Genomic DNA, 23,538 nt, shown 5'->3' with positions numbered 1-23,538 from the left:
GATTGAAAAGAAATAAACAAAACTCTTTATTCACAAATGACATAATTATTCATGTAGAAAATCCACTGGAATCTATATTTTTGAAATAAGCTACTAGAATTATTAAATGAGTTGAAGCAATGTTGCAGGATAAAAGATCAATATATAAAAATCCATTTTATTTTATATATTAGCAATGAACCATCAGAAGTTAATATTTTGAAAACAATGCCATTAAAAATGGCCTCAAAAATATGAAATAATTAAAAATAAAAGTGTCAAAAGATGTAAAAGACCTGTGCACTGAATAACTATAAAACATTGCTGAAAGTAATTAAAGATCACCGAAATAAATGGTGAGATATACAGGTTGTGTATTCCTCATCCAAAATGCTTGGGACAAGAAGTGTTTTGGATTGTAAATTTTTTTGGATTTGGAATATTTGCATATGCATAATGAGATATCTTGGGAATGGGACCCAAGTCTAAAGACAAAATGCATTTGTTTTATATACACCTTATGTACACAGCCTAAAGGTAATTTTACACAAAATTTTTTATACTTTTGTTCAGAAAACAAAGTTTGTATATATTGAACTATAAGAAAGCAAAGGTGTCAGATGTGTAATTTTCCACTTGTGGCATCATGTCATTACCGAAAAAGTTTCAGATTTTAGAGCATTTCAAATTTCAGATTTTCAGATTAGTGATGTTCTACCTATATTGTGTTCATTAGTCAAAAGACTCAATAATGCTAAGAAAGCCACTCTTCCCAAACCAATCCATACATTTAAACCAATCCCAGTTAAAATTCTAGCAGGGTTTTTTGTAGAAATTAACTGATTCTAAAATTGATATAAAAATTCAAAGGACCCAGAATAGCCAAAACAACTCTGAAAAAAAAAGATGAACAAATTTAGAGAACTAACACTTATTATGAAGCTACAATAATCAAGACAGTTTGGTACTGGTGTAAAGATAGACAAATAGACAAATGGAACAGAAGAGAGTCCAGAAATAGACCCACACATATACAGACAAATGATTTTGACAAAGTTTCAAAGGCAATTCAGTAGAGAAAGATTAGTCTTTTCAACAAATGGTGCTGGAATAATTGGATATATATATATATGCAAGAAAAAAAAATAAACTTTGATCTATATCTTGCACCATAAAATTAACTCAACATGAATCATAGACCTAAATGTAAAACTTAAACCTATAAAACTTTTAGGAGAAAACTTCTGCAACTTTGATTAGGTAAAGATTCCTTAGATATGATACCAAAATCACAATCTGTAAAATAAAATATAGATAAATTGGACATTATCATAATTTTAAAACTTCTATTTTTTGAAACACACTGCTAGCAAAATGAAAAGACAAACCAGATACTTGGGAGAAAATATTTGCAAACCACATATCTGATTTAAGACTTATATCCAAAATATATTTATATATATATATTTAAAATTCTTAAAATTCAATAATAAGAAAACAATGGACAAAAGATTTGAACAGACACTTCACCAAAGAAAACATATAGATGGCAAATAAACCTGAAAAGATTCTCAACACCATTAAGTTAAAATCACAATGAGATAACATTATAGACCTATTAGAATGGCTAATTTAAAAAAAAATACACCGCATCTGGTTTTAGCAAGAATTTTGAGCAACTGAAACTCTCATACACTGATGATAGAAATGTAAAATGATTCAACTACTTTGGAAAACCATTTGATAGTTTCTTAAAAAGCAAAACACACACATGCATATAATCCATGCAACCTACTTCCAAGTATTTCCCCCAAGAAAATTAAAGTATCTGTCAATATAAAGATTTGTACACAAATATTCATAGCAAATTTATCTGTAACATCCTGTGTTACCCAGGGTTCTCTAGAGGGACAGAACTCATTGGATACATATAAAGGGGAGTTTATTAGGTATTAACTCACACAATCACAGGGTACCACAATAGGCCATTTGCAGGCTGAGGAACAAGAAAAGCCAGTCTGAGTTCCAAAACTGAAGAACCTGGAGTCCGACGTTCGAGGTCAGGAAGCATCCAGCACAGGAGAAAGGCTGGGAGGCTGGGCCATCTAGCCTTTTCACGTTTTTCTGCCTGCTTTATATTCGCTGGAAGCTGATTAGATGGTGCCCACCCAGGTTAAGAGTGGGTCTGCCTTTCCCAGTTCACTGACTCAAATGTTAATCTCCTTTGACAACACCCTCACAGACACCCAGGATCAATACTTTGCATCCTTCAATCCAATCAAGTTGACACTCAGTATTAACCATCACAAGTCCACCTTTTGTCAGCTTGTACCCACACACATCTCCTGAGATCATACATACTCTTCAAATAAACACATTAATAGGTCATAATTATGCTTAAGATAATACAACTATCCTTCATAGAACTATCCTTCATAAAACCAGAAATGCACCAATCCTCAACCCAGATACTATTACCTAAAGTTAACAATACTTAAATGCTGATAGGAAGTCAATAAATCTTATGTCACATAATAAAGGAAAAAGAAAATGAAGATTTTTCTTAGTACAAGTGTGTACATGCATAAACATCATTTTAACAAAATCAAGAGGAAATATTCATGACAATTACACTCCTCATTTCTGCAACTGGTCACGTAGTCGTAGCTGGTGTTGATGACTACCTTCTTCTACTACCCATTCTGTATTCTCTTTGCCTTCAGCAAGCACCTCAATAGTTCATGGTTTTTTTCCTGGTGGTGTGACCCAAATCTTCATTCCTGAAGAGTCTGGGCCATCTGTAGTCCTGCCTGGATTGGGCTGTTGTAGTTTCCCATTGACTTTAATCACAGGCATGGTAATACTAAGAGACGCCCTAATGGGTCTCCTGTGTTCCATGCATACTCTTCCTTGCCTCCATTGTGGAATAGTAGAATGATTTCATCTTGATAGTCCAGGTAAATCACCCCAGCCAACACTGTAACTCCTTTCTTAGCCTGTTGACTTAAAGGTAGGAGGAACCCAAAGTCTCCAGGTGGCAATACTAACTTCCAGTTTAATGGAACTGTTGTGTCTCCTGGTGGCAGTGTTCCTCCCTCTGGAACTAAGACCTCTAGGCCAGCAGAATGCAATGTTGTGGGGACAGGAAGCAAAACTGTTGCTAGTGGATCCCTAGGGGTGACAGTGAATGGTGATGATCAAGAGGTGCCACTTCCACTTCCACCCCTCGATTCCTGGACTTGCGAATCCTGGCTATGGGAGAAAGAGTACCATACACTGGACGCTGATTCAGAGCATATACAGCCTTCTGGAGAACTTTGCGCCAGCCCTGCAAAGTATCGTCGCCTAGTTGGCATTGTAACTGTGACTTCAAAAAGCTATTCTAACATTCTATCAATCCGTCTTCTTCAGGATGATGTGGAACATGGGAAGACCAGCGAATTCCATGAGCATGAGCCTACTGACACACTTCTTTAGCCGTAAAGTGAGTGCCTTGGTCAGAGGCAACGCTGTGTGGAATACCATGACACTTGATAAGGCATTACGTGAGTCCACAGATGGTAGTCTTGGCAGAAGCACTGCATGCAGGATAGGCAAACTTATATCTGGAGTAAGTGTATATTCCAGTAAGGACAAACTTCTGCACTTTCCATAATGGAAGAAGTCCAATATAATCAACCTGCCACCAGGTGGCTGGCTGATCACCCCTGAAGTTGCTTATCAGCTTAAGGAGATTTTGGGCTGAGACAATGGGGTTTTCTAGATATACAATCATGTCATCTAAAAACAGGGACAATTTGACTTCCTCTTTTCCTAATTGAATACCCTTTATTTCCTTCTCCTCCCTAATTGCCCTGGCCAGAACTTCCAACACTATGTTGAATAGGAGTGGTGAGAGAGGGCATCCCTGCCTTCTGCCCGTTTTCAAAGGGAATGCTTCCAGTTTTTGCCCATTCAGTATGATACTGGCTGTGGGTTTGTCATAGATAGCTCTTATTATTTTGAAATATGTCCCATCAATACCTAATTTATTGAGAGTTTTTAGCATGAAGAGTTGTTGAATTTTGTCAAAGGCCTTTTCTGCGTCTATTGAGATAATCATATGGTTTTTGTCTTTGGCTCTGTTTATATGCTGGATTACGTTTATTGATTTGTGTATATTGAACCAGCCTTGCATCCCAGGGATGAAGCCCACTTGATCATGGTGGATAAGCTTTTTGATATGGTGCTGGATTCGGTTTGCCAGTATTTTATTGAGGATTTTTGCATCAATGTTCATCAAGGATATTGGTCTAAAATTCTCTTTTTTGGTTGTGTCTCTGCCCGGCTTTGGTATCAGAATGATGCTGGCCTCATAAAATGAGTTAGGGAGGATTCCCTCTTTTTCTATTGATTGGAATAGTTTCAGAAGGAATGGTACCAGCTCCTCCTTGTACCTCTGGTAGAATTCGGCTGTGAATCCATCTGGTCCTGGACTCTTTTTGGTTGGTAAGCTATTGATTATTGCCACAGTTTCAGATCCTGTTATTGGTCTATTCAGAGATTCAACTTCTTCCTGGTTTAGTCTTGGGAGAGTGTATGTGTCAAGGAATTTATCCATTTCTTCTACATTTTCTAGTTTATTTGCGTAGAGGTGTTTGTAGTATTCTCTGATGGTAGTTTGTATTTCTGTGGGATCGGTGGTGATATCCCCTTTATCATTTTTTATTGAGTCTATTTGATTCTTCTCTCTTTTTTTCTTTATTAGTCTTGCTGGCGGTCTATCAATTTTGTTGATCCTTTCAAAAAAACCAGCTCCTGGATTCATTAATTTTTTGAAGGGTTTTCTGTGTCTCTATTTCCTTCAGTTCTGCTCTGATTTTAGTTATTTCTTGCCTTCTGCTAGCTTTTGAATGTGTTTGCTCTTGCTTCTCTAGTTCTTTTAATTGTGATGTTAGGGTGTCAATTTTGGATCTTTCCTGCTTTCTCTTGTGGGCATTTAGTGCTATAAATTTCCCTCTACACACTGCTTTGAATGCGTCCCAGAGATTCTGGTATGTTGTGTCTTTGTTCTCGTTGGTTTCAAAGAACATCTTCATTTCTGCCTTCATTTCGTTATGTACCCAGTAGTCATTCAGGAGCAGGTTTTTCAGTTTCCATGTAGTTGAGCGGTTTTGAGTGAGATTCTTAATCCTGAGTTCTAGTTTGACTGCACTGTGGTCTGAGAGATAGTTTTTTATAATTTCTGTTCTTTTACATTTGCTGAGGAGAGCTTTACTTCCAAGTATGTGGTCAATTTTGGAATAGGTGTGGTGTGGTGCTGAAAAAAATGTATATTCTGTTGATTTGGGGTGGAGAGTTCTGTAGATGTCTATTAGGTCCGCTTGGTGCAGAGCTGAGTTCAATTCCTGGGTATCCTTGTTGACTTTCTGTCTCGTTGATCTGTCTAATGTTGACAGTGGGGTGTTAAAGTCTCCCATTATTAATGTGTGGGAGTCTAAGTCTCTTTGTAGGTCACTCAGGACTTGCTTTATGAATCTGGGTGCTCCTGTATTGGGTGCATATATATTTAGGATAGTTAGCTCTTCTTGTTGAATTGATCCCTTTACCATTATGTAATGGCCTTCTTTGTCTCTTTTGATCTTTGTTGGTTTAAAGTCTGTTTTATCAGAGACTAGGATTGCAACCCCTGCCTTTTTTTGTTTTCCATTTGCTTGGTAGACCTTCCTCCATCCCTTTATTTTGAGCCTATGTGTGTCTCTGCACGTGAGATGGGTTTCCTGAATACAGCACACTGATGGGTCTTGACTCTTTATCCAATTTGCCAGTCTGTGTCTTTTAATTGGAGCATTTAGTCCATTTACATTTAAAGTTAATAGTGTTATGTGTGAATTTGATCCTGTCATTATGATGTTAGCTGGTGATTTTGCTCGTTAGTTGATGCAGTTTCTTCCTAGTCTCGATGGTCTTTACATTTTGGCATGATTTTGCAGCGGCTCGTACCGGTTGTTCCTTTCCATGTTTAGCGCTTCCTTCAGGAGCTCTTCTAGGGCAGGCCTGGTGGTGACAAAATCTCTCAGCATTTGCTTGTCTGTAAAGTATTTTATTTCTCCTTCACTTATGAAGCTTAGTTTGGCTGGATATGAAATTCTGGGTTGAAAATTCTTTTCTTTAAGAATGTTGAATATTGGTCCCCACTCTCTTCTGGCTTGTAGGGTTTCTGCCGAGAGATCCGCTGTTAGTCTGATGGGCTTCCCTTTGAGGGTAACCCGACCTTTCTCTCTGGCTGCCCTTAACATTTTTTCCTTCATTTCAACTTTGGTGAATCTGACGATTATGTGTCTTGGAGTTGCTCTTCTCGAGGAGTATCTTTGTGGCGTTCTCTGTATTTCCTGAATCTGAACGTTGGCCTGCCTTGCTAGATTGGGGAAATTCTCCTGGATAATATCCTGCAGAGTGTTTTCCAACTTGGTTCCATTCTCCCCATCACTTTCAGGTACACCAATCAGACGTAGATTTGGTCTTTTCACATAGTCCCATATTTCTTGGAGGCTTTGCTCGTTTCTTTTTATTCTTTTTTCTCTAAACTTTCCTTCTCGTTTCATTTCATTCATTTCATCTTCCATCGCTGATACCTTTTCTTCCAGTTGATCGCATCGGCTCCTGAGGCTTCTGCATTCTTCACGTAGTTCTCGAGCCTTGGTTTTCAGCTCCATCAGCTCCTTTAAGCACTTCTCTGTATTGGTTATTCTAGTTATACATTCTTCTAAATTTTTTTCAAAGTTTTCAACTTCTTTGCCTTTGGTTTGAATGTCCTCCTGTAGCTCAGAGTAATTTGATCGTCTGAAGCCTTCTTCTCTCAGCTCGTCAAAGTCATTCTCTGTCCAGCTTTGTTCTGTTGCTGGTGAGGAGCTGTGTTCCTTTGGAGGAGGAGAGGTGCTCTGCTTTTTAGAGTTTCCAGTTTTTCTGTTCTGTTTTTTCCCCATCTTTGTGGTTTTATCTACTTTTGGTCTTTGATGATGGTGATGTACAGATGGGTTTTTGGTGTGGATGTCCTTTCTGTTTGTTAGTTTTCCTTCTAACAGACAGGACCCTCAGCTGCAGGTCTGTTGGAGTACCCTGCAGTGTGAGATGTCAGTGTGCCCCTGCTGGAGGGTGCCTCCCAGTTAGGCTGCTCGGGGGTCAGGGGTCAGGGACCCACTTGAGGAGGCAGTCTGCCCATTCTCAGATCTCCAGCTGCCTACTGGGAGAACCCCTGCTCTTTTGAAAGCTGTCAGACAGGGACATTTAAGTCTGCAGAGGTTACTGCTGTCTTTTTGTTTGTCTGTGCCCTGCCCCCAGAGGTGGAGCCTACAGAGGCAGGCAGGCCTCCTTGAGCTGTGGTGGGCTCCACCCAGTTCGAGCTTCCCCGCTGCTTTGTTTACCTAAGCAAGCCTGGGCAATGGCAGGCGCCCCTCCCCCAGCCTCGCTGCCACCTTGCAGTTTGATCTCAGACTGCTGTGCTAGCAATCAGCGAGACTCCGTGGGGTAGGACCCTCCAAGCCAGGTGAGGGATATAATCTTGTGATGCGCCGTTTTTTAAGCCCATCGGAAAAGCGCAGTATTCCGGTGGGAGTGACCCGATTTTCCAGGTGCCATCCGTCACCCCTTTCTTTGATTAGGAAAGGGAACTCCCTGACCCCTTGCGCTTCTCGAGTGAGGCAATGCCTCACCCTGCTTCGGCTCGAGCACAGTGTGCGCACCCACTGACCTGCGCCCACTGTCTGTCACTCCCTAGTGAGATGAACCCGGTACCTCAGATGGAAATGCAGAAATCACCCATCTTCTGCGTCCCTCAGGCTGGGAGCTGTAGACTGGAGCTGTTCCTATTCGGCCATCTTGGCTCCTCCCTCTGTAGCTATGTATTCTTATCACATTTGGGGGAAAGACTGGAGATAACAAGGAATTATCACAATAAAGGAAAATATATTTTGCTTAATCTATGTTCATATATTTTAATGTCTCACAGGGAAATGAATGTGTACATACATTTTTCTAAATTAAGCAAATATAAATAATTTGAAAACTTTACTTACCAAACTTAGACCCCAGTTTTTATTATTCCTACTGGAATTAAAACTCCAATTAACTAGAATTATCAGAAAAAGGCATCGTTTAATTAGTTTTTTTCTGCCTACCTTAAAATCATTAACCAAAACATTCTTTGTTTTTATTCTGTATTGCTCAGAATCTTCGTAAATTTTAAGTGGGCAAGTTTTTTCACTTAGCAAGGAGAATAGCCTGAATGTAATCTTATTTGATTAATTAGGTTGCTGAATTGTTTCAGGAGTGTGATTGTGGAAGTCAAGTCTCATCATACCAGAGATTTGGAAGATGTAAATGTTTTTAATGAAGGAATAGTCCTGGGGAGTGCCTGTGTTACTTACAACTCTTTATGTTGAAATTGACACGAACCCCATAACGTGGCTCAAACTACAAGTTGTTGTTTGAGCAAATATGTTTACAATTGAGCCCAGAAGCCGCTCTTACTTCAGATAAGGGTTGACCCAGGAGTCCAAAAGTTGTTGTTTTGACCCTGGATTCCCTCTGTCTTCTGCCCCAGTGGCTTCAAACTAAGGCTCTACACAGTGGTTGCCACACCAGAAACAGGCTGTCTCCTATAGGTAAAAAAATGTTTCCACCACTTCAGAACTCACATTCTTTTGCAACACAGTTAAAGAAGGGAGCTTCTCCTTCCAAGGTGACAAGGAAATATCTCCTTCTATCTCATTGGCTCTGATTGAGCTACCTACTTATCTCTGAGCCAGGCAGTATGGGAGGGGGAAATGAGGGAGAGGAATATAATATAGTGGTTGGCCTAAGTCAATCTGGGCTCACTCCTAAGACAGGCAGTGGGGTCAATTCCATACAAACTAAATGTCTGTGATGTGGTGTGGTATGGGGGACAGGTAGTGAAGGTAAAATTTTCCAAAGGAAAATAATGGTAAGGGAGAATGGATGTCAGGCACACAACCAACAAACGTCCACCACAACATCCATGAAAAGGCTCTTGAATTTAGGGTCAGTCAGTCCAGAGTTCACAACCTGTCTTAGATTGTTTTGTGCTGCTATAACAAAATACCAGTATCTGAGTAATTTCTAAAGAGAAAAAATATTTATCACAGTTCCATAGGCTAAGTCCAAGATTGAGGAGCTGGCATCTGATTAGGGCCTTCTTGTGGCATTATCCCATGGTGGAAGGCAGAAGGGCAAGAGAGGGCAAGCGACAAAGAGGACCAAATTTGGCCTTTTATAATGATCTCACTCCTGTGAAAGCTGGATTAATCCATTCATGAGGGTGAAGCTCTCATGGCCTAATCTACCTCTTACCAGTCCTACCTCTTAATACTGTTACAATGGCAATTAAATTTTAACATTAATTTGGGAGGAGACATTCAAACCACAGCACAACCCAATTCTATCATTTATTATTTATAGGACTTCCAGCAAGCTGACTTCTTTACATCTATTTCCTCTTCTGTAGAATGGTGATAATAATATAACATCCCAAGGTTGTTATGGAGGCTACATAAGATAATATATATACAATGAATAATATAGTGTCCAATACATAGTAGGTGCTAATAATAATTGTTGCTCTTGTACAAATTCTTCAATCCTATGAAAGCCTGCTATTAAAATGGAAGGAAGGAAAATTCTCTTTCACAGAGCACAAGTCACCACTCTGGTTAAAGGAAAAGCAATTTCAGGGAACATTTGACTTTTGACAATTGGCTTTACCCAATGTGTGGAAAACCCTCTGACAAACCTCTACTGAGAGGCACATTAGGATGGAAATATTTCTGGAGTTCCAAATTCAAAATGGAATTCATTTTTTTCCAGAGAAATAGTGATCTGGTGATCGAGTTTCTCCAGTAACTCAGAACTATTAATTTAGTCTACAGTGTAGCTGGAAAATAGTAACTTCACAGGTAAATTTGGTGTGATTACAGTGATATTCTGCCCCCAAATAATGACATCTACAGCAGAATGTTGATGGGGAAAACACATTTGTAAGTGACTTCAAAATAAATTTTTAGTATACACCCCATTATAAAATAATGAGCTAGTTTAAAGTCTGGCTGCAGTACATACCATCTCAACACATCATTGAGAGTGTTTATGTATATATATCTATATGTATGTGTGTATATATATAGAGATATGTGTGTATATATGTGTGTGTGTATATATATATACATAAATCTAAATTGGTTATGCAGAAAATTTTCAGGGGCAGGGTCTATGGGTGCATAGAGGACATCAAAACAATAGATTATTCAATGATATGTGCCACTTCACAAGGTACCGTCAAAGTCCATTCCGTTTGCTATCTAAACAGTCATTGACTCTGTGCCACATTGTTGCATCACCAAATGTTATTTCTTGTACTTCTACATAAAATGCTCTTTTACATATACATAATGTCTTGGAAATGTTTGTCTTTGGGGGAGAAAGGACAAAAGTGAAAAAGAGAGTTCGCATTAAGAAGCAAACTACTAAACCAGACCAGTACATGTTTCTGCCCTAATACAACAATTAATATGATAGTTTCTAGAAGGCCATCAGGTTTCCTGGCATCCTCAGCTACAATGAAGTTCGCTGCTTTATTTTTTTAATTCACGGCTCTCCCTCTGTGGAAGGTTGCAGGTGTGAAGCAGCTGTGTTCAAGGTAACATCTCATACATTTGCACAGCATGACAGACTGTGCTCACATCTTTTCTTTTCTTTTCTTTTATTTTTCTCTTTTCTTTTCTGTTTTCTTTTCTTTCTAATTTGAGTTTATAGGATTTCACTCTAGTGCTCAATAGCCCTTTTGCCCAGAGAACACTTTCTTCAATCCAGCCTAAAATCCTCGTGCTATAACAGCAAATAGTTTTCTTTTTAAATTCACTATGTAGAAATTTGAGCACAGCTGGCCAATCTATTCTGTGTTAAACCCTTTCATGAACTTGAAGATCATTAGTAAGTTTCCTCAGTCTTCCCTTCTCTTGGCCATAGAATAATCCCCACTCATTTGCTATAACATTTCTTAGTTACAAACTATTTTATCATCTCTGCTTTTTTTTTTCTTCTGTTTACCCTATCCCAAGTTCTCCTATCCTTTCTGCACTTCACCTCTTACTTTGGTTAGGAGGCTGACCAGGAGGTAGTATAATAAGGAGAGAATAACGTGACTGTGGACATGGCCTTCAGACAGACCAGGATTTGAATCTTGGCTCTATTGCAGACCTTTTTTTAAACACTCTTCCAAATTACTGAACACTTTAGTTCCTTAGTATGTAAAACAGAGATAATTCTAAGGGTATTGTGAGAACTAAATAGCTTTCTACACACACTCACACACACACAGCTTTCTAGGCACCACCAAACGCTCAATAAATGCTTAAAATGATGTAGTAGTCACTGCAGTGACCCACCTAGGTTTCCCTGAATTCCTTTACTGTTTCCTGAATTTCTTCCTAGGTCCAGGACTCTTATTTCCAATGGCCTGTCCATTTGTCTGTTTTTAGAGGATTACCCTATGGCTGTGAGAGAAGTAATTGGGAGTTTACATGGCCCTTGGGTGTTCTTAGCTATGACTGATAATGCAAGTGTATGAAAACCTAAGTTCCTCCCAGTTGATTTATGGCAGACAACTCAATTTATGCTCTAAGTTTCCCTTGTAGATTTAGGCCAAAGCTCCCTACTATAAGACTTGGCCAAAAATAGCACACTTTGCTTGACTTCCCTTTTCCTCTCCTCATGCCCCCACTCACTTACTGACTTCTTCTGGGGACACTTTCTTAATGAGTCATTTATTCACAAATTCTCATCTGCTTCTGGGTAATTTTTAAGACATGTACCAATATAATTATTGTTCTCACCTCCGCATAGTGCAACTTGTTCAAATGCTTCTGTTTAAGAGACAGAATATTGATTTTTGTTCAAGTGGACAAATGTTCTGAAAAAATTCCCAACAAGGCAATTTTAACTCATCACACCACAGATGAAATGCAGAGCATAGTGAATTTAGTGAATTATGAGAAGTAAAGGAGGTTTAGTGAATTATGAGAAGTAAAGCAGGTGGCATGGGCATTTATAAGATAATTCATAATAATTCACTCTTTAGAAATTGTTTTCCTTTCCCCACCTTGTTTCTGTACTGCTGAGCCTACAAGGAATAAAACATTTTCTAGTCTGTGAACTGGATTCTGCTCAACATCAAGAAAATGTGGTTTCAGTATGTCTCATCTCCTTTCCTCTCTTCCAAGAGAGCTAGGACTAAAGACAGCATCTCGAGATGTTGCAACAAGTCCCCTTACCTGAGCCACTGTGAAAAAGGAGACATGAGAATCCAACAACTGAGAGCCAAGCACGGATACATAGTGCAGCTGGAGCGGGAAGAGAAAAGTTGAGATCCTACAGAGGCAGGTTAAGGGCAAGAACAATGAAGAACCTTCAAGAAGCATCCAGAGTAATTGCCAGCCAGTCCCTTGGGTCATGGCATATGTGGTGGCACATCAGCCTATCTCAAAAGTTCGACCACAGAGATTTTAGAGCTAAAGACGACTGAAGATGGGAGGGGGAGGTGTCTATTGAACATCAGTATCAAGCCAACCACATCACTCCCAATGGGGTCATTAAGGGACTTAAGTATATTGTTCTTCTCATGGATTATCTCTTTGTTTCTATTCTCTCCTTTGTACCCCACTCCTAGATAGGTCACAAATTAAAAAGTAAGTTTTCTGTCACTAACCTCAAAGAGGAAATCAAATAACCAACAGGAATCAGTATGTTTAATGTTCCCCTCTGCCCTGAGGGGCAGTCCCACACCTATCCTATACTACATAAGCTTCGTGACAGCCTTCTCTAAGTGGCTGCATTTCGGTTAGTTGAGACTACCAAAAATGCAATTCCAAACATGTGGAGCAGCACTATCTTTATTTTTCACCTGTATTCACCTTTCTTGTGTTTCATGGGGGGAAGTTCTATCGTTTTCCAACTTTGATCACTCCCTTCCATCTCTCTTCCCTTTTTCCAATACTAGTTTAAATCAGACGGACCTTGGGGCATTCTAAAAAAATCAAAGGGATATACTTTTCTTTAGCAAAGATTAAACTCCACTCTGTAGCAAAATTAAACTCCCTACCAAATCCACCCACACAACTGCAACACCATTCACTTTTTTTTTAAATTGGGGCTTTACGTTTAAATTGACAACTACAGAGAGGACTTTTATCCATTTACATTAGGCCAGTTTTGTTTTTTTCCAAAAGATGAGAAATCAGTTATTTATTTATCTCTACCTCTTGTTCTTGCCAAGGCCATGACATGATAAATACATTGAGAAAGCAGAGCAGAAGCACACACACAATTTTTTTACAAGGCCTCTTTTCCCTGTTGTCATGGTTTCCATTGAAGACTGTTACATATAATCTATTCAGATGATGTTCTATTTGTTTGTTTGCTTGCCTGTTTTGAATATTACATTCTTTCAATACTTTAGTGTGCAAGAAGGTGATGGTAAGGAACTTAGAACTCTCAATATCTAGCTCCCTCACTCCAGCTTGCTTTCAAACAAGTTACTTACACAGGAGCACATTGTTTTATTTAATCCATAGAGGTTGATAAGCTGTTTTGGGTTACTTCAGACTTGTGCTCAACAGATATTCTGAAGTTATTCTGAAGGTCACTGATCAACTCTATATTGTTAAATGTGGTCACTAAATTCCATTCAATGATTCCCATCTTATTTGTCCTTTCAGCGACATGTGACCTTTCAGCAATCAATCACTGTATCTGCCTTGAAACATGTTTTTCACTTTTCTTCTAGGACATGGTACTCTTTTTATTTATTTATTTATTTTTGAGATAGAGTCTCGCATTGTCGCCCAGGCTGGAGTGCAGTGGTGCAATCTCGGCTCACTTGCAACCTCTGCCTCCTGGGTTCAAGCGATTCTTCTGCCTTCGCCTCCAGAGTAGCTGGCACTACAGGCACACGCCACCACTCCCGGCTAATTTTTGTATTTTTAATAGAGACAAGGTGTCACCATATTGGCCAGGCTGGTCTCAAACTCCTGACCTCGTGATCCGCCTGCCTCGGCCTCCCAAAGTGCTAGGATTACAGATGTGAGCCACCATGCCCAGCCAGTACTCTTTTTGGCCACTCCTTCTCAGCTTCATTGGCTAGTTTCTCCTCATCTCCCTGAACTCCAAGGTTCAGTTCATAGATGCCTTCTCTCAGAGGTGTTCTAAGGGATCTCATCTAATCTCATGGCTTTAAATACCATCTATATGCTGATGATACTCAAATTTCTATCTCCAACTTTGCCTCTTTCCTCAACTACAGACTTATATATTCAAGTGCTTACTTGCTACCTCCACTTGAATATCTAATAGACATCTTACTCTTAGCATGTCCAAAATCAGTGTCTTTACATACACATGCCACAAAAAAACCTCCTCCAGTCTTCCCCACCTCAATTCATTGAATCTCAATTCTACCAGTTACTTAGATTCATATTTTGGTTGTAGCCATAACTCTACTCTTACTCTAACAGGCATCATCAAATGCTATCGTTTCTACCACAAAGATGTATCCAGAACATGACTACCTACCACCCCTGCTACCGTCACCCTGATCCTATCCTCTCTGAATAACTTCTGTAGCCTTCTAACTGATCTCCCACCATTCACCCTTGCACTCTTTTCATCTATTCTCAGTCAACATAACATTCATTATTCTGCACAAAACCCTCCAGTGTTTTGTGCACAAAAAGCTCCAATGGCTTCCTATGGGACTCAGAGCAAAAGCCAATGTTCCTTTCATGGCTTGTAAGATCCTACGTGGCCTGGTCTTCATTACCTCCGTGACATCATTTATAACTCTCTCCCTCATTTACTCTACTTCAGTAATCCCAGCCTCTTTAGCTTTCCCCACAAAAATGTCGGGCATGTCCCAGCCCCACAGCCTTTGCACTTGCTATTCTGTCTGGATTGCTAATCCACCAGATATCTGCATGGCCACTTCCCCAACTCTCTTTAGGTCTTTCATCAAAATCACCTTATCAATGAGACCACCCTTGGCTACTCTGTCTAAAACTTTCCTTCCTACCCTCCTTTCTGGACTATTAGCCCTTATCTTTTTTTTTTTTTTTTTTTTGAGACGGGATCTGGCTCTGTCACCCAGGCTGAAGTGCAGTGGCAGGATCTTAGCTCACTGCAACTTCTGCCTCCCAGCAGCAAGCAATTCTCCCACCTCAGTCGCCCAAGTTGCTGGGTCTACAGGCATGCGCCACCGTGCCCGGCTAATTTTTTTATTTTTCATAGAGATAGTGTTTCACTATGTTACCCAGGCTAGTCTGGAACTCCTGCACTCAAGCGATTCACCCACCTCAGCCTCCCAAAGTGCTGGGGTTACAAGCGTGAGCCACTAATTCATTTCATCTAATTTCATTTACTTTGTTTACGTATTTTGTTTATTATTCCTCTCACTCACTAGAGTCCAAGGTCCAGGAAGGCAGAAATTTTTTTCTGTCTTGTTCATTACTGAATTCCAGCTCCTAGTGCCTGAAGCATTATAGTATCTCAATAAATATTTGTTGAATGAATAACATTCAATACAGAGATAGTTTTATCTAACCATCGCATTTAACTCAAGCAAAAAGAAAGTAGGCAGAGTAAGAGTTGCTCTGGAAATGGATACAGGAGTGGTCACCAGGGGACCGGACCAATCATTAATGAAGCAACATGGGATATCAGATTAGAACTTGTGACCATCCAACTTAACATTGCCACCAAATGCATCAGTCATTGGATGTACATGGTTGGGAAGAAACAGATTTCACCAAAATCATCAGGCATGTTAGGCTCCTAAGAACTTATTTTGTGCTAAATTATCTGCTAAGGTTTTAACCAAGCCCTCAACTTTCTTCCATGCAGTAGGCTTAGCAAATTTACTAACCAGTAGTAATGGTTTTATTAGGACCTACATCATTGTCCTCTTCTTTGAAGTGTGTGTAAACATGAAGTTTTTGGCCTCGATATAGTGAAAAGAATAATGAGAGTTTTGTTTAAAAATTGTTTTTTCATATACTGATGATAAGATTGCTCCCATAACTTGGAGATTCAAATCTCTTTACCCAATCCTTCTACCCCTTGTTTTTATGATCTTTTACAATTCTCCTTTTTGCCAACTATTTTTGCCCTCTCTTTTGTTGTTATTATTACTATTATTTTTTAATTTGAAGATACATAGCAGGTATCCTACATGGTTCACCTGAGAGCTACAGAAAATTAGTCAAGGAGTAAAGAAGTACCTGCAACTTTATTACTCAGTATAGACCAGTTTAGACAACTTTTCAGAATTGTGACAAGTCTTCCAGTTCTGTTTGGTTGGTTGCTTGGTTGTTTCTCTGTTTTTTCTGCTTCGCTGATTTCATCACACCTAAGGCCGAGGGGAACTTCCCTTCCCATATTATATCACCTACAGGCATGAAGATACCTATAGGCATTTGTGTGTATTTTCTGTTCATTTGGGGATTTGGTATATTACTATTAGGGTGTGGAAGATTTGTTTCATACAGGGAGTTATGTAGCATCTTCAGGGGATCTGAGACCTAGAAAACAGCAGTCCTATTCAAGGAAGACCATGTTACCAGGGAGCCCAGTTATCAATCAATGTACCACAAAAATTAAACTGTCTCTTATAACAGCAGTTGAAGCACTGTGGGCAATGAATTCTTAGGGGGTGGCAAAACAGATGAAATCCAGTCATCACATTTTACAACAGATCTGCTGCTTGATAAAGTACAACTGGAGAGCAGACTGTTAGCAATAAGGCCATTTCTAAGAATAAAATGAGTTTGTAAAAGATCTGTTTGAATTATTAACTCCAAAAAGTGGCTGGAGAAGAAAATGATTGCTGATATCACTGGCTTTTCTCCTCACATGTATGATTAGAACAAAGGGAGGCACAGGAGAGCAGGGAAAAGAAGTGAAAGCAAATTTCCCTCCGACATAAGGAGGCACATTTTCACGCAGTGCCTCATCGATACATGGAGAGGCCACCTACCAGGTAAAGAAAAACACTGCGGCCATTGTAAACGCAAGCAGATGCCGGAGCAGGGGAAAACAACATTCATTTTTACCAAATATTGTTTCTTTTTGTGCTTGCAGAAGCATTTCCTTAATACCAAGTGGACACATCTAGCCTTTATTCTGCACCCTGTAGATTTCCACTCCCTACCCCCAGACACCCCAGTCCAGATTCAATTTTAAATGCGAGCCATGTTGGAGGTCACAAGGAAACAGCCAAGGTGACCATTAATATCTTTTTCTTGTTTGGAAGTTACAAACAGACAATGACTCAATATGGGAAGACAATGTTAGTGTTTTCCAATTCAATATTTTTCACCACATTAATGATGAGATTTGAAATCTCTCATCCGAAGCAAAGCGGAGAAATATGTTAAACAGGTCACAATAGTCAATGCTCTCCTTTGATTTTGTAAGCATGTGTTCTCTATGTTGTAAGAAGACAAACAAATGCATTTTGACTTCCAAATATAAGACGCTTAGTTATGGAGCCTAGTCCAGTGAAGGAAAACAAAGCCATACTATCACTGCTACTGAAGATCCTGGGGTACTTTTTAGCCTTTTCCTCTATAGAATGTTGCTCTCAGGACCCTTCCAAGTCTTGATTTTCAAATTCTTTCAGTAGAAAACCCTGAAGTCTTCTTAAAAGAATGTACAACATAACCTTTCAGAATATGTGGGGCACTTCGACCGTAAATACTGTTAATAAGCAATGTCAATGTTTGCTGTTTATTTCATTGCTAAAAATGCATTCCTTTGCTATATAAAGAAATTGAATGTTAAGATAAGTTGAATAATATTTAGGATCACTAAGGATTATGTTGCTCTTCTTTTTAAAAGAAAAAAAAAGTAGAGTTGAATTTACATCTCCAGTATTGCAGATCTGATCAGAGCACTTCAAGGAAGACATAATAAAAGACCCTAAATAAGAAAAAAAGAAAAGGTATTACAGACATGCTTCCTCTGAAAATCTGGAGAATGAGAGGCATATGATCAAAGGCTACAAAATCATAATGGATAAATAGATTCATTCACCAAATTCTGGAATAACAGAACTAGAATACTTGAAAGAAATAGCTTTAGATTGAATTATTGCTTTTTGCTTGTTGTTGTTTTTAAGAAAAATTTCCAAATAGGGTAGACATTGATTTAGAAAGCCAGAGTTTTCTATAAAATTGATATATGATCCAAAGATGATTTGGTTTCATTTTATTTGTATATATTCATAGTATGTTAGGCATTCTTCTAAAGGCTTTTTAAAAATTAGCTCATTAATCCCCACAAAACTTCAGTAAGGTAGGTACTCTTATTATCTTCATTATTCAGATGGAAACTGAGGCTTAGAGAGGGTAAGTAACATGCTTGATATCACACAGCTGGTAGGTGGAAGAGTCTAGCCCTAGGGTTTGTGTTCTTCACTACTCCATCATCTCTTCAATAAATGTTTAGTCAGCACCTACTAGGTGCAAGTGGCTGTGCTAAGGTAAATTAGATGTTTCCTTTCTTCAAAATTTTTATAGATTAAGAAAAGAATCAGACATGGACACAAATGCCTACAGCCTAAGAACACATGAGACAGAGGAAATTACCTGACAAAGATGCCAGGAATGTATGAAGCAACTCCATAATCCTTACAAGTAGTCTTAATGAATTGAGAAGTGAAGAAACAAAAGAGAAGGACTTAGGAGGAGGGACCAGCAATCATGATTATGATAATGGTGAAGTGAGCCTATAGTAATTACCATTTAAATCTTGGGAAAACAAAGTTCTTCATGGGAGAAAAATGGATTCTTACAAAATACTAGGATTGTGCCAATTTCAATGTGCTGTGGACTCAGGAAGTCTAGGTTTGTTAGAGCAAAACTTGTCTCTCTTGCCTTTTCCTCCTTTAGACAGCAAAGAAATTGACCAAACATTTCAACATTTTAAAAATACAATTCATATACTTTAAATATATACAGTAAAAGATACAATTCAGGTACTACACACACATAATAAAGCTAAATTAAAAAAAAAAAGGATTGACAATGCCAAGTATTGCCGAGAATATAGAGAAAAATAGGACTCCTATGAATTGTGGATTGGAGTGTAAGATGATAAGCCTCTCTGGAAAAAGTTTGAGAAGTTTCTTTTAAAAAAACACCCAGATACACATCTACCTTCTGATCCAGCAATTCTACTCCTAGGTTTTTTCCCAAGAGCAATGAAAACAGATGCCTACAAAAAGAGTCGTACAAGGTTGTTCATAGTACTAAAAGGTGGAATAATCTAGGTATCCATCAACAGGAAAATGGATACCTAAACAATCTCTTATACAGTGGGAGATAACTCGGCAACAAAAAGAAAATGACTAAAAAACAAAACAACACGGATGAACAGCAGAGACATTATGCTGAATGAAAATAGCACAAAAGACTGCATGCTGTATGATTCCATTGATATGCAGTTCTAGCCTTGGAAAAACATTACATTGTAGAATCAAATCAGGACAATGGTTGGCTCTGGGATGGGCAGTTCAGGGACTTAGAAGAAACATGAAGAAATTATCCCGTATTATGGTGATGTTCTATATTTTGACAAGAGTTTAGGTGACACAGACACACACATTTGTCAAAACTCACTGACTGGTAACTAAAGATTTCAACATTCCATTGCACATAAATTTTACCCCCAAAGCAAGAAAAAAAAGCGAAAAACATCGAACTCTTTCAGTTAAAGACATGCGTGGAAGAGTATTTAGGAGCAAAGCATACTCGTGTCTGCTACTTACTTTGAAATGTATCAAAAAATAAGATGGATTGATGGAAGGGTAAATAGATATGTGAGAAAGCAAAGATACTAAAATGTTAATTATAGAATCTAGCTGATAGGTCTATTAGTAGTATAAACTGTACCATTTTTTAGCTTTTCTGTGTGTTTGAAATTTTTCATAATAAAATGTTGAAAACGTATAACTCAGATATAGATATACATACATATTTAAAGGGGTTTGAAGATTGAATTGCCAACAAGTTAAAGGTACTTTGCAGTGAGGAAAGCTTAGGTTCTTATTTTTTAAACTAGCCTTCTTTATTGAAGCACAAGAGAAAATAACCAGAGAGGTGACACCACTGTACATCATAGCTAAAGGAGCCCATTTTTATGCTACTAGACATTTGTCCTATATGTGTTATAAAAATAATTTGACTATAGACTTCAAATGGGTTTTGAATTTAAAAAAAAACCGGAATAGATAAACAAAAGATGGTGGAATATAAATGTGGTCTCTGGGGGCATCGGGAATTTATTGAAAGATATTTTTTGCTTGTTGTATAGAAAATTTGGAAAAGCACTTAAGTGCACAGAGAAGGAGGAAGAAACCACCCAAAATCCCACTACCAAAAGAAAAATTCACGGTAATAATAGTGACTTAACAGTCTGAAAAACTCATTTCCAATCATTCCTCTTTTCATATTTTTAACAGTTAAAATGGTAAATGCCATACTAAAGTATAGTATAAACATGTTTCATGAGAATAAAACTTTTTTCATTGATAATCTTAAGGAAGGCCAGGCGCAGTGGCTCATGCCTGTAATTTCAGCACTTTCGGAGGCCGAGGCAGGCGGATCACGAGGTCAGGAGATCGAGGCCAACCTGGCTAACACGGTGAAACCCCGTCTCTACTAAAAATAGAAAAAATTAGCCGGGCGTGGTGGCACGTGCCTGTAGTCCCAGCCACTCAGGAGGCTGAGGCAGGAGAATTACTTGAACATGGGAGGCAGAGGCTGCAGAGAGCCAAGATCATGCCACTGCACTCCAGCCTGGGCAACGGAGTGAGATTCTGTCTTAAAAATAATAATAACAATCATAATCATCTTAAGGACTACATAATGTTATTTTTAATGAGTATGTCACATTTTACCATGGAAACATGGGCGTATAGTTCTGTTGATTGTTTGTTTTTCATTTTATTTTGCTATAAAAAGTAATATTGAAAAGAAACATCCCTGGGCAAAAAATTCTTTACATTCCTGTTATTTTTAGGACAAAGAACTTCTGGAAATGTAATTTTAACAGAGTGTTTAGTTTGCCTGTAAGTTAAGAAGAGTCTTCTTGTACTCTTAACAAAAGTACTCTTATTGCTATAGACAGCTCTATGACATTACATAAAGTTTTAAACCCCATTCCATGGTTTGTCAGTATTCCTCCAGCTCATGAAAACAACTCTGTCTACACTTGCGGTTCATGCAGACAGACTTATGAACTGGACAGGGGGAGGAATGGGAGGTAGGAGATAATGAACTAGATTTGAAAGTGTCCCTGTCTTTCCCAGCAAGGAGAGAATGAAATATTTTCTTAAGTGAGGCAGAAGCCTAGCACTGAGGAAAAGAAGGGAAGAGTTGCTCTTTTTCACAGTGTGAGGCTGTGCTTGAATCTCTCCCAGACTGAGGCCTAGTGGCCCCTGGGTGGCCTCTGTATTATAAAAAGGAGGCCCTCTTTGAAGGTAGTGGGCACAAGAAGATAAAGTGTTTTTCATACATAACTGAAAATAGCGTGAGCTGTAGAGAGACATTCAGAAATGGGGATTCATAGCAAAATAATTTAATTAAACTCAATGTATCCTGCAAGCAAGAAGACCTGGTGTAAGGTGAGAAAATAATTGTATCTTTCTCATTCTCTGTCTCAGCAGATGACTCAGATCTAGCAGTTTGCTGGAGGTGGCAGTCACCAGCTGAAAAGAGCTGACTGATAAACATTCAGGAATTTTGCAATCTGGTTTGGTAACTTTAAATTGGTCATGACACAGTATTTACAGCATGGAAACCAGCAAATACTACAAGTCACACCTTTCCAGACCCTTCCCATCCCCAGAGATCTGGTGTATCTGTTCAGCACACCTCAGATCCAAAGCTCCTTTTCTGATTTCTCTCCCAAATTCAAGACCCATTATTGACACTACATTCAGGACATCCCTATTTGTCTCAAATTCATTAGATGACTCATTATTCTCTCCCAGGTATGATCTTACTAGTGTGCTCTGTATTTCTGTTAACAATTTATCATCTTCACAAACAGCAGCAACCAAAACCTGACAGCCATATTTGACACTTTACTAAGTAATAAACAAGAAGAAGGACAAAAAGGAGGAGAATTAGTCAATAAAGTAATTTCTTATGTCAGCCCTTGTGATAAGCCTTTTACATACATTCCTATAACATCTCTTAAAGAAGGTATTATTCTAGCTGTGCAAAGGGAAAACAAGTTCAGGGAGGTTATGTTACTTACCAGACTTTGCCAGCTAATAAGTTTCAGAACTATGGTTTGAGACTCTGAGTATAACCCAATATGTAAACCAATATGCCATATTTCTAATCAATTAATTGCAAAATCTGCCCTCTAGAACTTTTTCATTGTTTTAAGGAGGTATTATTTGCATACAATGAAATGCTCAAATCTTAAATGTGCATTCCCCCAGTGTTGATGAAGATAAACTGTTGTATAACTCACACTCCTATCTATATATATAACATTTCCATTGCTCAAGCACATTTCCTCCTTGTTTGTTCCAGTCAATCCCCGCTTGTTACAGTCAGCATAACACTGCCCTAACAAAATATTACAAATTGAATGACTTATAAACAACATTTATTTCTCACAGCTTTGGAGGGTGGAAAGTCCAAGATCAAGGCACTAGCACATTCAATGTCTGGTGAGGGCCTGTTTTCTGATTTATAGATAGTGCCTTCTTGCTGTTTTTTTCACTTGGTGGAAGGAGCAAGAGAGATTTCTGGAAACTTTTAATTGGGATTAAGGGCAGTAAATCCCAATTATGAGGGCTCTGTCCTGCTGACCTAATCACCTCCCAAAGTCCCCACCTCCTAATGTCATCACACTGGTAAGTAGATTCAACATATGAATTTGAGAGAGACACAAACATTCAGACCACAGAACCACTGCTTTATTTCATCACAGGTGAGTTTTACCTATTCTGGCCCTTCATATAAATGAAATCATATAGCATATACTCTTTTGTGGAAAACTTCTTTAGCTCAGCATTTTGAGAATAATTTATATTATTTATGTATATCAGTAATTTGTATATATTTATTGCCAAGTAATATTCTATTATATGAATAAACCAAAGTTTGTTTATCTACTGTTTTATTGATGGACATTGGAGTGACTGGCTATTATGAATAAGGATGCTTTAAACATTCTTGTACAAATCTTTTTGTTGACACATGTCTTCACTTCTTTTTAGTAAAACCTAAAAGCATAAATGGTGAGTCGTAGGACAGGTGTATGTTTACATGAGAAATTGCCAGACTAATTCCTAGGTCGTTTTGTCATTTTATACTCTCATTATCAGTGTATGGTGATTCCACTTGTTTCACATCCTCAACAACACTTAGTATTGTCAGTCTTTTAGTTGTAGCCATTCTAGTGACTCTGTAGTAATAACTCATTGGTTTTAATTCACAT

At 38.5% G+C, this 23,538-nt stretch overlaps 1 long non-coding RNA gene across 1 annotated transcript in view, besides 2 other annotated features; it reads right to left on the bottom strand.

The window, feature by feature from the left end:
* SATB1-AS1 (SATB1 antisense RNA 1) overlaps positions 1-23,538 on the bottom strand; it is an 84,878-nt gene that overhangs the window by 6,184 nt on the left and 55,156 nt on the right. The window lies entirely within an intron of this gene.
* Positions 7,114-7,636: an enhancer, noted in NCBI's record as "NANOG-H3K27ac hESC enhancer chr3:18557787-18558309 (GRCh37/hg19 assembly coordinates)". NCBI's record gives its function as "activates a minimal SCP1, AML or CMV promoter by ChIP-STARR-seq in naive and primed H9 embryonic stem cells {active_cell/tissue: H9 hESC(naive and primed)}" and the evidence as "EXISTENCE:reporter gene assay evidence [ECO:0000049][PMID:30033119]".
* Positions 7,637-8,161: an enhancer, noted in NCBI's record as "H3K27ac hESC enhancer chr3:18557262-18557786 (GRCh37/hg19 assembly coordinates)". NCBI's record gives its function as "activates a minimal SCP1, AML or CMV promoter by ChIP-STARR-seq in primed H9 embryonic stem cells {active_cell/tissue: H9 hESC(primed)}" and the evidence as "EXISTENCE:reporter gene assay evidence [ECO:0000049][PMID:30033119]".

The sequence above is a fragment of the Homo sapiens genome, chromosome 3, assembly GCF_000001405.40.
Source record: "Homo sapiens chromosome 3, GRCh38.p14 Primary Assembly".
In the NCBI taxonomy this organism is placed as follows: domain Eukaryota; kingdom Metazoa; phylum Chordata; class Mammalia; order Primates; family Hominidae; genus Homo; species Homo sapiens.
This window is presented reverse-complemented; position numbering and strand designations above follow the sequence as displayed.